Source organism: Homo sapiens, chromosome 11, assembly GCF_000001405.40.
Source record: "Homo sapiens chromosome 11, GRCh38.p14 Primary Assembly".
NCBI lineage: Eukaryota > Metazoa > Chordata > Mammalia > Primates > Hominidae > Homo > Homo sapiens.
The window spans coordinates 125,002,059-125,023,909 of record NC_000011.10 but is presented as its reverse complement, the minus strand read 5'-3'; the positions used below and the strand labels follow the sequence as shown (position 1 = coordinate 125,023,909).

At 35.4% G+C, this 21,851-nt stretch overlaps 1 protein-coding gene across 12 annotated transcripts in view; it reads right to left on the bottom strand.

Annotated features, from left to right (window-relative positions):
- Positions 1-21,851, bottom strand: part of CCDC15 (coiled-coil domain containing 15) — an 87,288-nt gene that overhangs the window by 17,580 nt on the left and 47,857 nt on the right. For 11 of the 12 annotated variants that reach the window (XM_017018346.2, XM_017018348.2, XM_047427627.1 and 8 more), the window contains 2 exons: positions 19,951-20,043; positions 7,871-18,801 (listed from right to left, as the gene is read on the bottom strand). In XM_017018346.2, coding sequence (XP_016873835.1) covers positions 18,694-18,801; positions 19,951-20,043 — 201 coding nt within the window. In that variant the 3' untranslated portion in view covers positions 7,871-18,693. Of the gene's footprint in view, positions 1-7,870; positions 18,802-19,950; positions 20,044-21,851 lie in introns of those variants that run through there. The other variant, NM_025004.3, reaches the window with a different exon arrangement.

Sequence of the window (21,851 nt, the reverse complement as noted above, 5' to 3'; positions counted from 1 at the left end):
TTTATATAAATGAGATCATGCAATATGTGGTATCTTTGGATTGGCTTTTCATTTGGCAGAAGAGTTTCAAAGTCTATCCACATTATAGCCATACTTCTTTCATTTTTATTGCCCGCATTCCTTTGTACAGATATGCCACACGTTATGTTTCCATTCATCAGCTATTGGACATTTGGGGTGCGAGTTTCCAAAGTGGCTGTACCATTTTACATTCCTCACCAGGAACATTTGGGGATTCTAATTTCTCCACATACTCACCAAAACTTGCTTTTATCTGTCGTTTTTTAAATTATAGCCAATCTAGTGAGTATGAGCTGGTATTTCATGGTTTTGATTTGCATTTCCCAGTAACTATGATTTGAGCATCTTTTCATGTGCTTATTAGCCACTTGTATATTTTCCTGAGAGAAATGTTAATTTAAATCCTTGTCCACTTTTAAATTGGATCAAGTGTCTTTTTACTATTGAGTTGTAAGAGTCATTTATATATTCTGGACATAAGTCCCTTATCAGATATATGATTTATAAATATTTTCTCCCATTCTGTAGCTGTCTTTTCACTTTCCTGATAGTTTTTAATTTTGATGAAGTCCAACTTATCAATCTTCTCTTTCGTTGTTTGTTGGACAACTGATTTGTGACAAACACAGAAAGGCAATGCAATGAAGAAAATATAGCCTCTTCAACAAATGGGTATCCTCGTACAAAAAAATAAGCCTCACACCATACGTGACAATTAACTCAAACTGGATCACAGAGTAAATGTAAAACTTAAAATTATAATCTTTCTAGAAGAAAATCTTTGTGACCTTGGGTTAGGCAAAGACTTGTTAAATAAGTCATCAAAAGCACACTCCATAAAAGAACAAACTGAAAAGCAGAAATTCATCAAAACTTATCAAATCCTTTAAATATGTACAGTTTATTGTATATCAAGTATACCTATTTAAAAATCCCTACTAACATGTAGAAAGGAAAGAAGCAGTTCAGTGAGAAAATCATCAAAAAAGTATGTAAAGAACTTTTGTTAAGAAATATGACTGACTCAAGACTAGAACTCATAACTGAGTTCTAGAATAGAATTGGCCTGATGAGGCCAATTGCTAAAAATTACTTTGAAACAAATGAGCTATTGTTTTCTGAACAGTAGTATGAGGCCAGTTCATACTCATACTTCTTCAATAAAGCATGTGCTGGTGAAAATTCTGGGCTTCTATCCATTTGTGGCAGGCTATTGACTCCAGGGGAATTATAGCCTTCCATTTTGTTAGATTAACACAGGTATAAGTTAAAAATCAGGAAGACATCCTACAAAGGCTGAAAGATCAGGCATTGGAAAAACACACAAGAGATGGTATTTGTGAAACCAAGTCTGTCCAGATTCTGACAGCTACTCACTGGCCATCTCTAGCAAAGTGACAAAGCCACTTTAAACAAAGATTTTCTTACAACTATTCTCCCATATTTACCAGTCTTTCTTGAGCTACAACTGTAAATCTAAATTGAGTACAGGACATAAACATCGTTTTTATGGTATGATTCAAACTCAAAACAACATAAAGTTGTAATAGGGGAGAAGTGAAAAACATTATTGCAGCTTGGGCAGAGGGAGATGCTTTTATACTAGTGAAGATAAAGATTTAAAGGCATATAAAGGAGTACACTAGGAATGTGAGGAAGGTAATATAGAAAAAGGCCAAAACAGGCATATACACACATCACACTTGACTTTAAAATATATGTCATCTTGCTCTCTTAAAAGATCATGTGTGAAATAAGTTAGAGAATGAAAGAAAACTATTAAAATACAAAAGTTAAAAGACGAGCCTAAGATCACAGGAGCTCTTGGCTAGGGATCTGCGTATATTGAGATCTTATTCCAATGAGAGCCAGTAAAGTAAGTGTCTTGAAGACATTCATATTTGTTAAGTTCGGTAACTCCCAACCTTGTAAAAAAAGTAAATGATAAAAGATTTTCCTGTGAATAATGAATCAAATTGAAGTTTTCAATGATGGAATTTAAACAGAGCGAAGTCAATGATGACAGAAAAGCTTAGTTACTGGTGTAATTCTCTATACGAATTATTCTCTAGACCAGTCAGCTAAGGGCTAAGGGAACACGTCAGCATTGTTTTTCAAGTGTCATAGGTCTTGGTAACAGAATGGTTACTAGAAAAGACGGAGTCAGCCCCGTCCCTCTTTTGGTAGCTATTCCTCTCCTCACAGATACTCCTCTCTTCACAAACATCTCAAGAGTGAGTAAATTTTCTGTCTCTATTTCCTCACTTCTTCATCTGCTCCAATATGGCCTTAAGATCCATCACTCCACCAAAACAACTAGTGACCTACAGGTCATTTAATCCATCCAGTACATGCTTTTTTATTAGGTGCAATACTGTCCCCAAGGAGGCAAAAAACCCTTAGATATTATAGTAATTTGTGGCTCTCCGAAAAATCACAGTACATAAACGGTTATATCTGTGTATTAAAATTATATTGGGGGGCAGTTAGAAAAAATGTCTAAATAGGTTCAATAGGGGAACAATAATGAAGAAAAGGTTGAGAAACACTGATGGAACATTTTTCAGTCCTAATTTTACTTGCCCTCTCAGACACATTTAATATTGCTAACCACTCCCTCCTTCCTGAAACTTTTCTGTTCCTCAGCTTCTGTGACACAATACTTTCCCTGAATTTCCTCGTATACTTCTTTAGACCATCCTTCTCTGTCTTCTTTGCAGGCCCATCTGCTCTACACTAGGTGTTCCTCAAAGCTCCATTTTAGGCCTTCTCCTTTTCTTACTCAATACCTTCCCCCCAGGCGATTTTATGTATGCCCTCTGCTTCAGTTACTATACACTACCATCTATAACTCACAAAGCTATAGCACCAACATAGATCAATCCCTGATATTCGAGCCTATTTATCTACCTGCCAATTTGACATCTCCACTTGATGTCTCACAGGTATTCTCCTAGGAAAAAAAAAATCCACAGCTTTGGTCAGATTCACAGGTTAAGAACAGCTGCCATATAGTAGTTTAAGAAGGGATCATAAAATAAAAAATGATAGTGCTAAATTTAAAAATTGATTAAAAAACAATTATTCTATAAACAAGTTTCTGCTCTTCTCCAATGTCTTCAAAGCCTCTATTGTAAATACATGTTTTAGTTGATACACAATAGAAACTAGACTAGGTCAGAAATCAATATGTCAATTTATCCGTTTCTCCTAGAGCAATGGTGTGAATACAATTACAGTGATTCTCTGGCTATGCCAAAAGGTATTCTGAAACTAGCATCAGGCTTTCAGTAAAAGAGAGGTTAAGAATATAAAAGACTGCAAACAGGTTTATAAACGTGCTGCATTGGGTGTTTGCACAACTAAAAAATGTCAATATTTGCATTTCAAAGAGAATTCTGAAAATAAGGTGACATCACAGGGAAACTGGATTTAAAATATATTTTCTTACAATTTCAACAACTTAAAAACTCTTGTTAGTCATCTTTCATATAATGCCAAAGCACTAATCCTTCACAAAGTTAAGAGACCTAGAACCAAAAGCAAGGACTGTTTCCAAAGCAATCACAGAAATCTGCCAACACCAAGACTTTCAGATAAAATGATTTCTGCTTCTAAGATTAAGAAACAAGCTTATTTACTTCAGGAGTGAAAGAGGTGCCCTGCTGGAAAAATAACTTCTCAAGGAGGTGGAAGAAATCTGCCTCTTTGATATAACAGAATTAAGATCTAATTTAGAAGTCTAACTTTTTTCCTGCTGTTCCTGTTTTTTCTGTTCAACCTTTCTCTTGTCTCCCAATTCCATGATTCTGCCAGTATTCTTCCTTGTGACTTCAAATGGAATAAATTCTAATGTTTCATAGCAGAGTAGGGTGACTATAGTTAGCAACAATGTATTGTATCTTTCAAAATAGCTAGAAGAGAGGACTTGAACTGTGCCCCCCCCCACATAGAAATGACAAATACCGATTTGATTACGTATCCTATGTAACAAAATTTCACACGTACCCCACTAATATGTACAAATATAATGTATCAAAAAAGAGAGCAATCACTAATAAGAATAACTTATCATTTCCTACTGGTACTCTCTACTTGGATTTCCTTTTAGACTTCAAGCCCAGTATGCTCCAAACTAAACTTATTCTCGTCACCTCTACCACCTTCCTGGCAAATCTGTTTTATAGTACAACATGTACCCAGTGACCTAAGCCATAAATCTGGGAGTTATCCTTGAATTCTTCTCTAACAAAATCCTATCAAGTCTCTTAACCACTCTTAAAACTACCTCCTCCTCTTTGCCTCCCTGGCCTTGTCTTATGTGGCAGGCCATGTTATAAACTTCAAAGACGTTAGGTGATAAAGACAAATAAATCTGGGGTTGAATCCCAGTTCTGCCACTTGCTAAATGTACCCTTAATCCTAGGCAAATTACCTAACCTTTCTAGGGCTCATTTTCTCATCTGTAAAATGAAATGAGTAATCAAATCTACCTTAAAAGGTTATTGAAACAAGTAAATAACTTAGTGTCTCTAAAGCACTCAACACTACGCCTAGCACATTCTAAGCACTCAGTGAATGCTAACTACTGCTACCTTGCAGGACTACTTTATCCATTAAGAGGAGATAATCTATGCGAAGTGCTTGACACACAGTTAGGACTTAATATATAACGATCTTTTAAAAAATTAATTTCACCTCTCTTCTCTCTATATATTATTTCAACAACCTCCTAACAGTCATTTCATCTTATCCCCATGATGCCACTGAGCTCCCTGTTTTCAACATGAAGTCAAATTTTTTTCTCATGACATACTAAGGTCTTTACAATCATGTCTTTCCTTATTTCTTAAGGCTCACCTATTGCTATTCCTTTAGCTCCAATCACATCAAATTCAGAGGTGTCACATTCTTTCATGAAGCACTGCTTTTGCAGTGCTATTCCTTTTGCCTGGAATTCCTGTCCAGCCTTTCCCCTCTCCAATTCCCACTTTGTCTTATACTATCCCCACAAATCCTTCAAAACTCAGTTCAGGAAGTTCTCCCTTTCCTTCTGCCACCCCATATCCCCAACTTTGGCTTTAAAACAGTCTCTGTGCTACCACATATTCTTGTACTTTTTTCCTTCTCATGATAAGCAGCAGCTAATCTTTACTGAGTACATACTATATTTGTGATTCTGTACTAAGCACATTTACACGTTACCTCATTTAATCCTTGCAGGAACTTTATGAGGTATATATCATTATTATCCTTATTGTATATAGAGGAAACTGAGGATTACAGAAGTAACTCTCAAAGTCACACAGCCGGTAGGTAGCAGAGCTGGGACTTGGAAACATATCTCCCCATGTTCTTAACCACGTGCTGTATTATCTTGTAATACTAAATATACGGTATTATAATGATCTATTTCCAGTCATGCTTTACCCAATTATGGAGATATATTCTTTAAAAAAATTCATCTTTGTCATGAAAACATCATAGAGTGTCCTTCCACAAACCTAGATGGTATAGCCTATACACAACCAGGCTATATGGTATAGCCTCATTGTTCCTTGGCTACAAGCCTGTACAGTACATTACTGGACTGGATCCTGTAGGCAACTGTAACACAATGGTAAGTGTTTGTGTATCTAAACATAGAAAAAGTACAGCAAAAATACAGTATAAAAGATAAAAACATTATACTTAAATAAGGCACTTACCATGAATGGAGCATGCAGGACTGGAAGATGCTTTGGGTGAGTCACTGAGCGAGTAGTAAGTAAATGTGAAGGTCTAGGTCATTATGATATACTACTGTAGACTTTATAAACACTGTACACTTAGATTAAAGTTACAAAAATTAATTTTCTTTCTTCAATAATAAATTAACCTCAGCTTACTGTAACTTTTTAACTTTATAAACTGAATTTTTTTACTTGACTCTTTTATAATAACTCTTAGCTTAAAACACAAGCATGTTGTACAGCTGTAAAAAAATATTTTCTTTCTTTGTATCCTTGTCCTATATGCTTTTTCCATTAAATTTTTTTAAACTTTTTAAACTATTTTGTTAAAAACTAAGACATAAATACATGTTAGCCTAGGCCTACACAGGGTCAGGATCATCAATATTATTGTCTTCTGCCACCACATCCTATCCCACTGGACAGTTTTCAGAGGCAATAACACTCATGGAGTTGTATTCTCCTATGATAATGCCTTCTTCTGGAATACCTCCTGAAGGACCTGGCTGAGGCTGTTTTACAGTTAACTTTTCTTTTAGAATAGTATAGTAAATATATAAACCAGTAACATAGGTGTTCATTATCGTCATCAGCCATTATGCATTGTACATAACTGTATGTGCTATACTTTTACACAACTGGAAGCACAGTAGGTTTACACAAGCATCACCACAAACACATGAGGAATGCATTACAATGCTACATCACTAGGTGATAGGAATTTTTCAGCTCCACTATAATCTTATGGGACCAACAGTGTATGTGCTGTCCATCACTAACCAAAACATCTTTATGTGGTGCATGACCGTATTTATCTGCTTCCCCACTGGTTAGTCAAACTTATCTAGCTAGATCCTTGAAGACAGGGATCATGTTTTTTCATTTCTTGCATACCCTATGTCTAGCATCATCTCTACCAATTAACAGATGCTCAATAAATAGCTGCTAAATCAATGAATGAAACCATATCATTTTATTCTTATAACAACTGAGTGAGGTAAAGTAGTTATCAATTACTGTTTATAAAACAGATGTATGATTATTTTAGAATGCTGCTAAGGTGGTTTTGTCTTCAAGTTAAATCATGTGACTTCCATGCAAAGAAGGCATAAATGATTTAGTTTCTTCAGTAAGTAAAAGGCAAAATTAATTTTTAATTATTTGCCAACTATCAATACAAGATTAAGTCTTCTGATACCATCTGTAAAGCAATCAGTCCTTCATATTTTTTCTGAGGTCAAGAGTATAAACACAAGAAGGAAAAGATTATCCAGTAGGAAATGGCAATAAAACAAAAAGCCTTTAGCAGAAAAGCTTTCAAAGAAGGTCAGTAGTATTGCTAAAGAAGTTTCCCACTGACTATGCCATGTGGTAGGCATGTCATGAGAAGATTTAGGTTAGACATAAAACACCCACAGCAGGGGTATGTTGCCTTCAGTCAAATGAACTGAATGAAATTCTCATTTTGACTTTTACCTGCTAGCCTGTAAAATGCTTACATATGAGCAATACAGAACTGAAAAGACCTTTTCATGCAGATCAGATCACAATTACAGCTAAAAGATTAGGCTATCATAAGACAAATCTGGCCTAGGTGAGACAGTGAACTTCCTGAGCTGAGTGTCAACATGCTTAGATGCTGAAATTGTTATACTAGAGCTCTAAAGAACATTAAAAACAGAAAAGGTCTTTGAAATATTTAAAGAGAATTCTGCTTAAAAGTCACACTAGACAACTTGATAAAGATTTTTTTTTTCCAAGCATCCCAACCCCAGTCCACATACTTTTTTATTGCAACAGTTTTTGTCAGGTTGCTTTTAGAACAACAGTATTATATTTCAAGGGAGAAAAAAGCATGTGAGGAAAAAAACATACACAAAGGGAATATTAAACACCTCACAGGAAATCTATTTTCACTAGTGGGATGCCACATAAATATTTCAGGAGTCCTTGTACCTTCTTACGCACAATAAACAGGATATTCAGCAGCAAGGGGCCCTCAACCATGCAGATACTGCTTAGTCTTACAATGTCAAACAAACTAGTAATAAAATATTTGAGAAATTAAGAAATACAGGAAAGATAGGAAAAAATGATTTATCATCCAAAGACAATTCTTTAACATCTTGGAATATTTTATTTCAGTATGTTATTCATTGTATGATTGCTGTTGCTGCAAAAAGCTTTGTTTCCATTTGGTCCATAGCTTGGGAGAAGTTCAGGGGTGGTTAAGAAGCTGCCCGGGGGCTAGAGGCAGGGGCTTAAGCAGAAGCTGCAAGTATAGGGGCCTGCAGCAGTGCCCCTCAAAGATCATTGTGCCAATATTTCACTTGAGGCTTTTTTCATTTATGCTCACAAGAAAAATTAGTCTGTAATGCTGCTTTCTTGTAATGTCCCCATCAGGCTGGTATTAAAGTTATGCTTTATTTGAGAAATATTCCACTTTCCATTCTCTGGAAGAATTTATGTAAAACTTTATGTTATTTTTTCCCTTATACATTTAAAAAGAATTCCCCAGTGAAGATATATGAGCTGGAATCTGAACCTGGATTTTTCTTTCAGGATTTTTAATAACTGGTTTTATTTCTTTCAGTGATACGGGATTACTCAAGTATTCAATTTCTTCTTGTGTCCATTTTAGTTGTTTTATCCCCATAGGAGTTTATTTTATTAAAATTGTCAAATTTTTAAAATGTAAAGTTGTTTATAATGTTCTCTTACTGTGATTTAATGTCTGTAGGCTCTGTAGTAATGGTTCCCTTTCCATTCCTAATATTGGTGAATTGTGTTTTTTCTTTTTACTGATTAGTAAAAGTGATATATCCTTGGCAAAACAAAATTTTTAAAAGAACCAACTTTTGTCTTTGATTTCCTCTGTTATACATTTGTTTTATATTTCACCGATTTTGCACTTATTCCTATGGCTTTTTTTCTGATGTAATTTGTAGTTTTTCCCAAGCTTAAGATGGAAGGTTAAAACATTGATTTGTAGCCTTTTTAATTTTATATTAATTGTAATCAAGGCTCTGACATTCCCTTTAAGGACTGCTTCAGTGACACCTAAAAAGTTTTAATATGATTTATCTTCATTATTATTCTCTCAAAAGTATTTCCTAATTGCCATTATAATTTTTTCTGTGATCCATGATCCTTTAGAAATATACTGCTTATTGATTTCTAGTGTAATATCACTAAAGTTACAGAACATATTCTGAAAAATAACCAAAAGTAAGATGAACTGTGGAAAATGTTCCACGGGCACTTGAAAGGAATATATTCTGTCACGATTCAGTGTTTTTATAAATGTTTCCACTTTTCTTAAATTTCTAGGCATAAATTGGTTGGGTCATATAGTAGGTCTATGTTTAACTGTATAAGATATTAAACAGTTTTCCAAAGTGGTTGTGCTGTTTTCTACATATGATACTAATACATGAGTTACAGCTGTTCTACATCCTTGCCACTATCTGGTACTGTTAAGTTTGTTGTCTTTCCCTCCTTAAGCTACTCTAGTGAGTCTGAAGTGGTACCTCATTGTGCATAGAGTGAGTTCTTATTTTAAGATTATATTTTTCTATTGGATTCTATTTTATAGATTCCATTTCTTTGGTGAAATTCTCAATATTTTCATCCATTTTCTCCATCTCTTCCTCTAGTTACCTGAGCACATTAATCAATTATTTTAAAGTCTACTAATACTAGTATCTTGTGTCATCTGAGTCTGCTTCTGTTGTCTTTTCTTTCTCTTGGCTTTTGGACATCTACTTCTAAGTATGTACTTAGAAACTTTTGATTGAATACTGAATATTGTTTTAATTTTTTAGAGGCTCTAAATTATGTTATCCATAACCAGAGAAAGTTCACACTTTTCTCAGCTAGGCAGAAAGTACACAGTTCATCATCTTAATCTGGTCCAGACATCAGCAGAATCAAGGCTGCTTTGTAATTTAGGTAAGGTTTATTCTACTGCTAGTTAGACGATGTTCTTAGTGTATGCTCTCCCTAACTCAACTGAAAGCCTGATATGTATATTGGGCCCTTTCTCCCCTCCCCCAACCCAGTGGGTCCTGAACTCTACATCTCCTCATCATCACAGACTAATAGATTCTTAGTCTCTTTTCCACTCATTTTCCATTTAGCCTTCATGTTTTCTTAGACTTTGGCAAATGTCTTGAGGAGAACACTGATCAAATGTTTGAGACCCTTGAGTCTCCAATTTTGTTACTGCAGCTCCTTCAGACCACCAAAAGCTCTGCTTGTTTCTGTCACCCAGCAGTAGCCCTGTACCTTATCCAATGTCATGCTGAAACATATTTTGAAAACCCCTTAAGAAATACTTAGTTCCTATTGTTCCCAGAACTTTAGTTATTTTCACATGCATATAAATCAGACCTCCCTTAATATTTCACATGCTCCTGAAGCTGATGGTCACAAACTGAACTCACTAGCTTCCTGAAAAATCTGTTCTTTGAACATTCCCTATATACGTTAATGGTACTAACCATTCATTCAATTATCTAAGAAGAAAGTTAGAAAATACCCTTGACCAAACCCATCAAGACTAAGAATTTGGTCATCAAAATCTATGGATTCTACTTCTTAAATATTATTAAATATGTCACTCTCTGTTCCCAGTGCCCTCATCGTCCTCCACAACTACTATAATAACTTCTTAACTGGACTCTGCCTTAGTTTTCTTTTTTAGATTATTCTATATGCAGCTGCCAGACTGGTCTTTATAAGATTATAGTAAGATTATAGGACTTTTGCCTTAAAATCTTTCAACAACTTCGTTATAGATTCTCTGCCACTTCACTTCACTTGGGGTTTAGCCACCCCAAATTTTTATTTTATTTCTCAGACACACCTTATGCTTCATACTAAGCTCCTTGACCATCTGGCAAACTTCAATTCATCCTTTAAGATGTAGCTTGAGTATTAACTCATCTATAAAGCATTTCTTGACCTCCCTAGACTATCCCTGCCTCACTTTAAGCATTATAATTATTTTTTGTCTCTTTTTCTCCTGTTGTCTGTCCTCTCTTGGTGCTCATCCTATCATGGTAGTAACAGGTACTTTTTATTGAGATCTTATTAAATGTCAGATACAATGTTAAGTACTTTACATACATTTCTCCACTTAATGCTATCAACAAACTAGAAGATCAATATTATAATCTCCATTATATAATTAAGGATACTGAGGCTCAGAGGTGAAGTTACTTGCTTAAGTTTACAAAGTTCATAAGGGATACATTCACACTTAAGTCCATTTGTAAATATGTACTATCCTGTCATATATTCTAGTTTTATATTCTCAGCATATAGAACAGTCCCTGGCATGTAGTAAGTTTTCAATAAATGTTTGCTTTGTTGTTGAAAAGTACTAAACTAGATAATATATGAAAGCCCTTGTGAATTATAAAAATTCTGCATGAATACTACTATTATTTCCTCCCACCTTGATTCTGTTTATATATGTTTTCCTAACTCACCATCCTTATCCCCTTCCCTGCAAAACATATATTTATCCACCCAAACCCAACTAAAGTGTAATATTTTCTCTAACTCTCCAGATAAAATCGTTAATCCCTTCTTCTGTGCTCACATGGACTCTGTACCTATCTTGGCAACTGCACTAATTATATTACTTATTTGAATATGTTTGTTTCTCATCCTCCCTCCCCAACTTAGATTATGAGTTCTTCAAGAAAAGGAATGAATTTTATTTATCTTTGTATCATCTGAGCCTAGGACAGTGCCTATGATATGGAAGATAAAAAATAAATGTTTTCTGAATAAATGCAGAATCACTCTTAGACCTGGATAAGAGGGGAGCCCTTATCATGAGACCCACATTTTTAATAGTCCCACTTTGGCCTGTCTCTGACCATATCTCTTCCCATAGTCCTCAGAGACTAAGCAACTAGGCGAAGGCACCTGAAGCCTATGACTGCCCATCTATACTCTGCTCCAGGTACCCAGGCCCCTGGAATTCTTTACTCAAACTTTCCAAGGCTGTTTTTAGGGTATACACAGTTCTGTTCCCCACCTTTGTCTTCCTCAGAGCAGGCTGCACCTCTCATGCGCATCTAGGCTCAATGGAACATTAAGGGGTGACCACTTACAGGGCATGTACCTAGAACTTAGATATCTGGGCTGAGTTGAACCATAGCATGTATCTGAAATTCTTCCAGTACAAAATAGAGGTATGAATAAGAATAGAAAGGGGGTGGACTGGAGGCTGACTCTCCACTCATGTTCCTGCATGTAACTCAGAGGAGTTCAAGAATTGCAAATTTGAGTCCGACCTTCTAGTCACTATGAAATCATATTTGTCAAGGTAGGACAATAGAATATATGTCATTTTACAGTTTTTTAGCTCAGCTTATGACATTAAAATACTTAGATGTAAGGTACATAAACTTGTATTTGTATGTGAGCCCAATCCTGCAAATATTAGAGGCAGGCTTAAATCAGTTATCCCACGAATAAACTACAAATAAATGAAAATACATGTGAAAGCACTTAAAATAATCCAATAAATATTGCCTTTGACATGGCTACTACACCAGCAGTCATTGTTTTTTTAAATGAATTCTTCTAAATAAAGAATACTTCGGCCGGGCATGGTGGCTCAACCCTGTAATCCCAGCACATTGGGAGGCTGAGGCGGGTGGATCACGAGGTCAGGAGTTCGAGATCAGCCTGGCCAAGATGGTGAAACCCTGTCTCTACTAAAAATACAAAAATTAGCCGGGCTTGGTGGCATACGCCTGTGGTCCCAGCTACTTGGGAAGCTGAGGCAGGAGAATCGCTTGAACTCGGGAGGTGGAGGTTGCAGTGAGTCGAGATCGTGCCATTGCACTCCAGCCTGGGCGACAAGAGTGAAACTCCATCTTAAAAAATAATAATAATAATAATAATAATAATAATACTTCTATTACAGAAACAGTTGCCCATTAAGATGAAGGAAAACTTGTTAGTAATACAAGAGAAGAAATGGATTACTAATTAAAAGGTTTATTTTTTTTTCATTAAGATGAAATAGCATTGAAAAGGAACTAGGAAACTTTTAGGTCCAATGACTACCCATTAGGGAAAGGACTCCTTATTCAATAAATGGTGCTGGGATAACTGGTTAGGCAAATGCAGAAGAATGAAACTGGACCCCTACCTTTACTATACACAAACATTAACTCAAGATGGATTAAAGATTTAAATGTAAGACCTCAAACTATGAAAATCCTAGAAGAAAACCCAGGAAGTACCACTCTGGACATCAGCTTTGGCAAAAAATTTATGACTAAATCCTCAAAAGCAATTGCAACAAAAGCAAAAATTGATAAATGGGACTCAAACTAAAGAGCTTCCTCACAGCAAGAGAAACTATCAAGTGCATAAACAGACAACCTACAGAATGGTAGAAGATATTTACAAACTATGCACCTGACAAAGGTCTGATATCCAGTATCTATAAGGAATTTAAACAATTTGGCCAGGCGTGGTAGCTCACTCCTGTAATTCCCCCAAATTAGGAGGCCAAGGCAAGTGGATCACCTGAGGTCAGGAGTTCGAGACCAGCCTGGCCCACATGGTGAAACCCTGTCTCTACTAAAAATACAAAAATTAGCTGGGCATGGTGGTACATGCCTGTAGTCCCAGCTACTCAGGAGATAGGCACGAGAATCACTTGAATCTGGGAGGCAGACATTGCAGTGAGCTGAGAATGTGCCACTGGACAGAGTGAGACTCCATCTTAAAAAAAAAAAAAAACACCAGGCAAAGCAAAAAACAACCCCATTAAAAAGTGGGCAAAAGACATGAATAAATACTTCTCAAAAGAAGACATACAAGTGGCCAATAAACATGAAAATATGTTCCACATCACTAATCATCAGAGAAATGCAAATCAAAACCACAATGAGATACTATCTAACACGAGTCAAAACAGATATTAGTAAAAAGTCAAAAAATAACAAATAATTGCAAGGCTGCAGAGAAAAGGGAATGCTTATTCATTGTTGGTGGAAATGTAAATTAGTTCAGCCACTGTGGAAAGCGGTTTGTTAGTTCAGCCACTGTGGAAAGCGGTTTGGAGATTTTTCAAAGAACTTAGAACTACCATTTGACCTAGCAATCCCATAATTTGGTACAACGAATCCTTCTACCAAAAAGGCACACGCATTCATATGTTCATCGCACCACTATTCAAAACAGCAAAGACACAGAATCAACCTAGGTGCCCATCAGTGGCGAACTGGATAAAGAAAATGTGGTATGTATACACCATAGAAGACTATGCAACCATATAAAAGAATGAAATCATGTCCTTTACAGCAACATGGATGTAGCTGGAAGCCATTATCCTAAGCGAATTAACACAGAAACAGAAAACCAAATACTGCATGCTCTCACTTATAAGTGGGAGCTAAACTTTAGGTACACGTAGACACAAAAATGAAAACAATAAACACTGAAGACTACTAGAGGGAGGGATAGGGGAGGAGAAAAGGCTGAAAATTACCTATTGGGTACTATACTTACTATCTGAGTGACAGGATCATTTATACCACAACCTTCAGCATCACGCAATATACCCTTGTAACAAACTTGCACCTGTACCCCCTGAATCTAAAATAGAAGTTGAAATTATAAAAAACAAAACCAAAAAGACCCCAAAGACTATTCATTATGCTATTTGAACACATTTCTAGCACTTTACAGTAACCTATAACAATTTTGTTATAGTATTATACAGAGTGTTTCAAAATAAAAGTGTTATTGCTTTATATTTTATAGCACTTCACAAATTTCAAACTATTACACATATTAGCACTTTGTTTAGTGCATTATGCATAGTATGTCAATAACATCTGATGAAGTAAATCCTCATATTAGATTTCATTATAACTTTTTTTTTTTTTTTGAGACGGAGTTTCGCTCTTATTGCCCAGGCTGGAGTGCAATGGCACGATCTCGGCTCACTGCAACCTCCGCCCCCCGTGTTCAAGTGATTCCCCTGCCTCAGCCTCCCGAGTAGCTGGGATTACAAGGATTACAAGCATGAGCCACCATGCCCAGCTAGTTTTGTATTTTTAGTAGAGACGGGGTTACTCCACGTTGGTCAGGCTGGTCTCGAACTCCTGACCTCAGGTGATCTGCCCGCCTCAGCCTCCCAAAGTGCTAGGATTACAGGCGTGAGCCACCGCGCCCAGCTCATTATAACTTTTTATGCATTGTTTAGAAGTTAGTAGGCACAATGAAGTTTGTCAAGACAACTGGGGTTGAGCTCTAAGGGGCACAGTAAAAACCCATAGCCTGTAGTCCCAGCTACTCAAGAGGCTGAGGCAGGAGAATCTCTTGAACCAGGGAGGCGGAGGTTGCAGTGAGCCGAGATCACGCCACTGCACTCCAGCCTAGCAACGGAGCGAGACTCTGTATCAAAAAAAAAGAAAAAGAAATGCAACTGATGGAGAAGAACTTCTTCAACCTGAAAAAGCGCATCTACAAAAAATGTACAGCTAACATCATACTTGATGGTAAGAAACTGTAAGTTTACCTGCTAGGATAAGAAACAAGCCAAAGATGTACCCTCTCATTAACATCATACTGAAAGTCCTTGCTAATGAAATAAGGCAACGAAAGGAAATAAAAGGCATACAGACTGGGAAAGAAGAAATAAAACTAACTTTGTTCACTGGTGACATGATCATATAATAACAAAAATGTCACTGAACAAGCTACTGGAACTAAGTGATTACAGCAGGGTTGAAGGATACAAGTTTAATATACAAAAGTCAATCACTTTCCGATATACCAGCAATGAACGGGTGGAGTTTAAAATTAAATGCACAATACCATTTATATGTATTTCCAAAATGAAAGATTTAGGTATAAGTCTAACAAAAAATATATAAGATCTATATGAGCAAAAACAACAAAACACTGAAGAAAGAAATCAAAGGACAACTAAATAAAATGGAGAGATCATCTATGGTCATGGATAGAAAGACTCAATATTGTCAAGATGTCAGTTCTCCCCAACTTGATATATACATTAACTGCAATCTCAGTAAAAATCTCAACAAGTTATTTCGTGGATATTGACAAACTTATTTAAAGTTTATGTAGAGAGGTAAAGCCAACACAACATTAAAAAAGAAAAACAAAGTTGAAAGACTGAAATTACCCGACTTCAAGACTTATTATAAAGCTACATGCCACACCCACTGTTGCCAGCACCCAGGTATAGAACCAAACGACCTGAGGACAGGCCTGCCTCACCCACTGCCGCCACTTCAGGCACTCATGCTTGTCATCCGGGTGCCTGGGGATCAACTGAACTTACCCACAATGAGATATCATCTCACCACAGTTAAAATGGCAATTATCAAAACAACAAAAAGTAACAAAAGCTGGTGAGGATGTAGAGAAAAGGGAACTCTTATACACTGTTGGTGGGAATGTAAATTAATACAGAAATTATGGAAAACGGTATGGAGATTTCTAAAAAAAAAACCTAAAAACAGAACTTCCAGATGATCCAGCAACTCCACTATTGGGTATTTATTCAAAGGAAAAGAAATCAGTGTATCAAAGGTATACCTGTATCCCCATGTTTACTGTGGCACCATTCACAATTGTCAAGATATTGAATCAACCTAAGTGTCTTCAACAGAGGGACACAAAGAAAATGTGGTATATACACACAGTGGAATACTATTCGGCCATAAAAAGAATGAAATCCTGTCATTTGCTGCAACACAGATGGAACTGGAAGTCATTATGTTAAATCAAATAAGCCAGGCACAGAAAGACAAACATCGCATGTTCTCACTCACATGTGGGAGCTAAAAAAGCTGATCCCATAGAGGTAGAAAGTAGAATGATAGTTAACCAGAGGGTGGGAAGGGAGGAGAGGATGAAGAATGGGTTAATGGGTATAAACATACAGTTAGACAGATAGAATAAATTCTACTTATTGGTAGCACAGTAGGGTGACTCTAGTTAACAATAATTTATTGTATATTTCAAAACAGCTAGAAGATTTGAAATGTTCCCAATCCAAAGAAATCATAATGTTTGAGATGACAGGTATCCAAATTACTCTGATTTGATCATTACACATCATACATTTGATCATATACATTGCATGTTATCAAAATATTACATGTATCCCATAAATATGTACAATTATTATGTATCAATAAAAATATGTAAGTAAAGCTACAATAATCAAAACAGTGTGGTATGGCAAAAGAATAGACAAATAGATCAATGGAACAGAACAGAGAACCAAGTCCAAAAAACAGAACCACATAAATGCAGTCAACTGATTTTTAACAAAAGAGCAAAGGCAATATGATTAATAAAAGATGGTCTTTTCAACAAATGGTGCTGGAACAACTGGACATCCACATGCAAAAAAAAAATGACTCTAAACACAGATCTTACACCTCTCACAAAAATTAACAAAGTGGATCATAGAGAAAAATGTAAAATGCAAAACTACAAAACTCCTAGAAGGTAACACAGGAGAAAATCTAAGTGACTTTGGGTATGGCAGTGACTTTTTTTTATATATAACACCAAAGGCACAATCCATGAAAGAAAGAACTGATTAGGCAGACTTCATTTTGCTCTGCAAAAGATACTGTCAACAGATGAGAAGACATGCTACAGACTGGGGAAAAAATGTTTACAAAAGACTGATAAAGAACTGTTATTCAAAATATACAAAGAACTCTTAAAATTCAACAAGAAGAAGCAAAATGAACAGACACATCACCAAAGAAGATACACAGATGACAAATAAGCATGTGAAAAGGTGCTCCATATTATATGTCATTAGGGAAGTGAAAATTAAAACAATGAGATACTACTACACACCTACTAGAATGGCCAAAATCCAAAATACTGACACCACCAAATGTTGGCAAGGATGTCAAGCAACAGGAACCCTCACTCCTTGCTGGTGGGAATGCAAAATGGTATAGCCACTTTGGAAGACCATTTGGTAGTGTCTTATAAAGCTAAATATATTTTTACCACATGATCCAGCAATCATATGCCTTGTTATTTACTCAAATAAGCTAAAAATGTATGCCCCCACAAAAACTTGTACATAGATTTTAAAGTAGCTTTATTCATAATTGCTAAATATTGGCAGCAAATAATATGTTCTTCAGTAGGTGAATGAATAACTAAACTGTGATACATTCAGATAATGGGATATTATTCAGTGCTAAAAATAAATGAGCTATCAAGCCATAAAAAAGCATTAGAGGAAACGTACATGCATATTTCTAAGTATAAAAAGCCAATCTAAAAAGGTTGCATACATACTGTATGATTCCAACTATATGACGTTCTGGAAAAGGCAAAACCATGGAGACAGTAGAGAGTTCAGTGGTTACCACAGGATAGGGTGTAAAGAGGGAGGAATAGGCAGAGCACAGAGGATTTTAGGGAAGTGAAAGCACTTTGTATAATACCATAATGGTAGACACATGACATTATGTATTTGTCAAAACCCATAGAATGCCTAACACCAAAGGTGAACCCTAATGTAAACTATGGACTTTGGGTAATAATAATGTGTCAATGTAGGTTCATCAATTCTAATACATTGTACCACTATGGTGCAGGATAGTGACAGTAGGAGAGGCTACGCATTTGTGGGGCAGAGGGTATACTCTCTGTACTTTCTGCTCAATTTTGCTGTGAGCCTAAAATTGCCCTAAAAAAATCAAGTCTAATAGAAAATCGAACCAAAAAACCAAACCATAGCTGTTCACCATCTTCCAATACTTCACCCAGATCAAAAATAGCTGTTTTCAATATGGATCAGAGGGCAAAACCATTACCTTTTTCTAAAGTTCATCTTCCAAAAACATCTTAATTGGCAATTTAAGGCTCACAGAGCAGATCGAATAACTTACTTTTCAATTTTCTTCTTTTGTTCTTTTTGCCTTTGTTGTTCTTTAACTTGTTCTCTCTCAATATCCATGAAAAGTCGTCTATGTCTCAGGTACTGCTTTTGACGCTAAAGGTAAGAAGTTAAAATTACTAAGATTCTGCTTTCAGAGGAATTTCCAAGGAAGAAAAATATTCTTATACCATAGACAAAAACAAATGCAAGCAAACAGAAACAGATGATATAGAAGTTACATGATTAAGTCTTTAATTTCCTTCTGTCTATGGTCACTCAGGATGTCACATACACAAGAATTTTATATTTTCAAGCACATGGCTATTATATGTTAATAGGCAAACCAGAGAAAGTATTTACTCTGTTACTCTGAAATATTTACTCTGTGTTCCCAAGTAGTAAGTACCATAAAAGCAGAGCCACAGAAAGAATGTAGAAGATATTTCATAACAGAACCAATAGTTACTTTAACTTTTCAAAATTAAAACAGTATCACAAAAGCATACTCTAAGCCTAGCCTAACATGGCACGGAGGAGGGTAGAAGGGCTGAGGTATACTAAAGCCTCAGACTCATAAATGAAACAAGTAGAATAAAAGCAAGTGCTACTAGACTGTGTGTGATCTGTTCATTCCTCTGGATTTATATATACTCTTTTAAATACACAAGCTATTCGATGAGCAAAAAGCATGTCTATGTATATACCAAAGTAGTGCAGGGCTTTTTGGTAAAAATTACTGAAGTTCTAAATAGTAGCTCTTAATACTGAGGATGCATCAGAATCACCAGTGGTATTTTTAAAAAACAAAAATGCCCTAAACCTCCGTTTTCAGATACTGATTTGGTATATCTGGTTTAGATCTAGGCATATTTGTATTTTGAAAAAAGCTCCCCATCTGATTCTGGTGCATGGCCAGGGTTAAGAACTATCGGTTTAAACTAACTTTAGATTGAAAAGAGAAAAAAAAAAGAAAGCCATAAAGTAATTATCTTCCTTTAAATAAGTTATAGTGGCAAATATACATTAGCTGGAGAAATTTATTAGTATCAAATAATTGATTTCACATCAATGTACCCTAACTCATAGGAGCTTGGAAAATAAATTCAACACATTATAATGAGTCAAGCAACTTTTATTTGATTTATGAAATTTGTGGTATTAGCTCTTTTATGTGTTAGGACACAACAAATTGTTTCCAATTTCTCATATATTAATACTATCATAGTAGAAATATTGGGATCCAAAAGCAGTATCATTACATACCTCTTTCTTATCTTCTTCTTTATCCACGTCAGACTGAAATGCCAGTGGAGCTTGGAATTCAGTGCTCAATCCTGATTGATACCTATCATAAGCCTGTTAAGAAGGTCCAGTCACACAAAGTGACAAAATTACCAAAAACTACCCCATGAACAATTTTGATATTTTTATCTGTTCTTTTCTTTTGCAAACTTGGGCTCAATTGGATAAAGAAGGGGAAAAAACATGAATATAAAGAATAAAATCAAAAAAGAATGAAAGGAAGCCGTTTCAGAAGGAAGTAACCAAACATAAAATAATAAATCGAAGAAAAGGGTTCAGGTCAAAAACATGAATAAACAAAAAATTAAAATGTTCAGAATGAAAATTCTTTTAAAGTGGTCACTTGAAATCACTGTCATGAGTGCGCTTGGAATAGAATCTAGGATAAATAGCCAGATTCCTTAATATTTCAATTCTATATATGATCACTTTGAATTTATACAACCCTCTTAGTAGGCATGAGTCCAGAGAAAATATTATATCAATCAACTGGAATGGCATGGAAGAAACAGGCTAATTTCCACCCATGTTTACTGGGAAAGCCTTATAACATAACTTGGTATATCTACTTGGACATTACATGGGTCAAATAATGATCTCCAACTTTTAGAAATAAAAAGTTTAAAATTATTTCATCTCTTAAGTTTAAGAGTTATTTATCTTTCAACAAGGTTGCAGGATACATGATCAATATACAAAAATCAATTGTATTTCTATATTTGTAAAGAACAATCTAGAAAGTAAATTAAGAAAAAATTTACATTTACAGTATCTTCAAAAAGAAGAAAACACTTAGAAATTTAACAGAGGAAGTGTGAATTTTATACTCTGAAACATACAAAACATTGTTTTAAAAAAATGAAAGATGATATATATAATGGAAAGACATCCCATGTTTATGGACTGGAAGACCCAATATCGTTAAGATGGCAGCATTCCCCAAATCGATCAACAAATTTAATAATCCTCCATCAAAATGTCAGTTGATTCTTGGCAGAAATTGATAAGATGATCCTAAAATTCTTGTGAATATGCAAGGGACCCAGAATAGCTAAGACAGTCTTGAAAAAGAACAAAGTTAGGGGACTCACTCTTCCTAACATCAAAACTTACTACAAAGATATAATAATCAAGACAAATTGTACTAATACAAGGATAGATATGCTATAGATCAATGGAATAAAAGTGAGAGTTCAGAAATAAACTCTTACATTTATAATGAGTTGATTTTCAATAAGAGTGCCAAGACAATTCAATTGAAAAATAAACGGCTTTTTAACAAATGATTCTGGGACACAGGTTATCCACATGCAAAAGAATGAAGTTGGACCGCTCCCTAACACTACACACAAAAATTTACTCAAAATGCATCATAGGCCTAAATATAAGAGCTAATACTATAAGACTTAGAGGAACGCATAGGAGTCAATCTTTGTGATTTTGGCTTAGGTAATGGGTTCTTAGATATGACAATAAAAGCACAAACCATGAAAGAAGAAGTAGACAAATCGGATTTTATCAAAATTAAAAACTTTTGTGCTGCAGAGGAAACCATCAAGAAAGTGAAAGGCAACCCACAGAACAGAAAAACATTTGCAAATCATATGTATCTGATAAGGGACTTGTATGTGGAACATATTATGAATTCTCATACTCAATAATCATAACGCAAATAACCCAATTACAAAATGGGCAAAGCATCTAACAGTTCTCCAAACAAGATATACAAATGGTCAGTAAGCACATGAAAAGGTGTTCAACATCATTAGCTATCAGGAAAATACAAATCAAAAGTACAGTGAGATGCTACTTCACACCCACTTGGATGGCAATAATTAAAAATACAGATAATAACAAGTGTT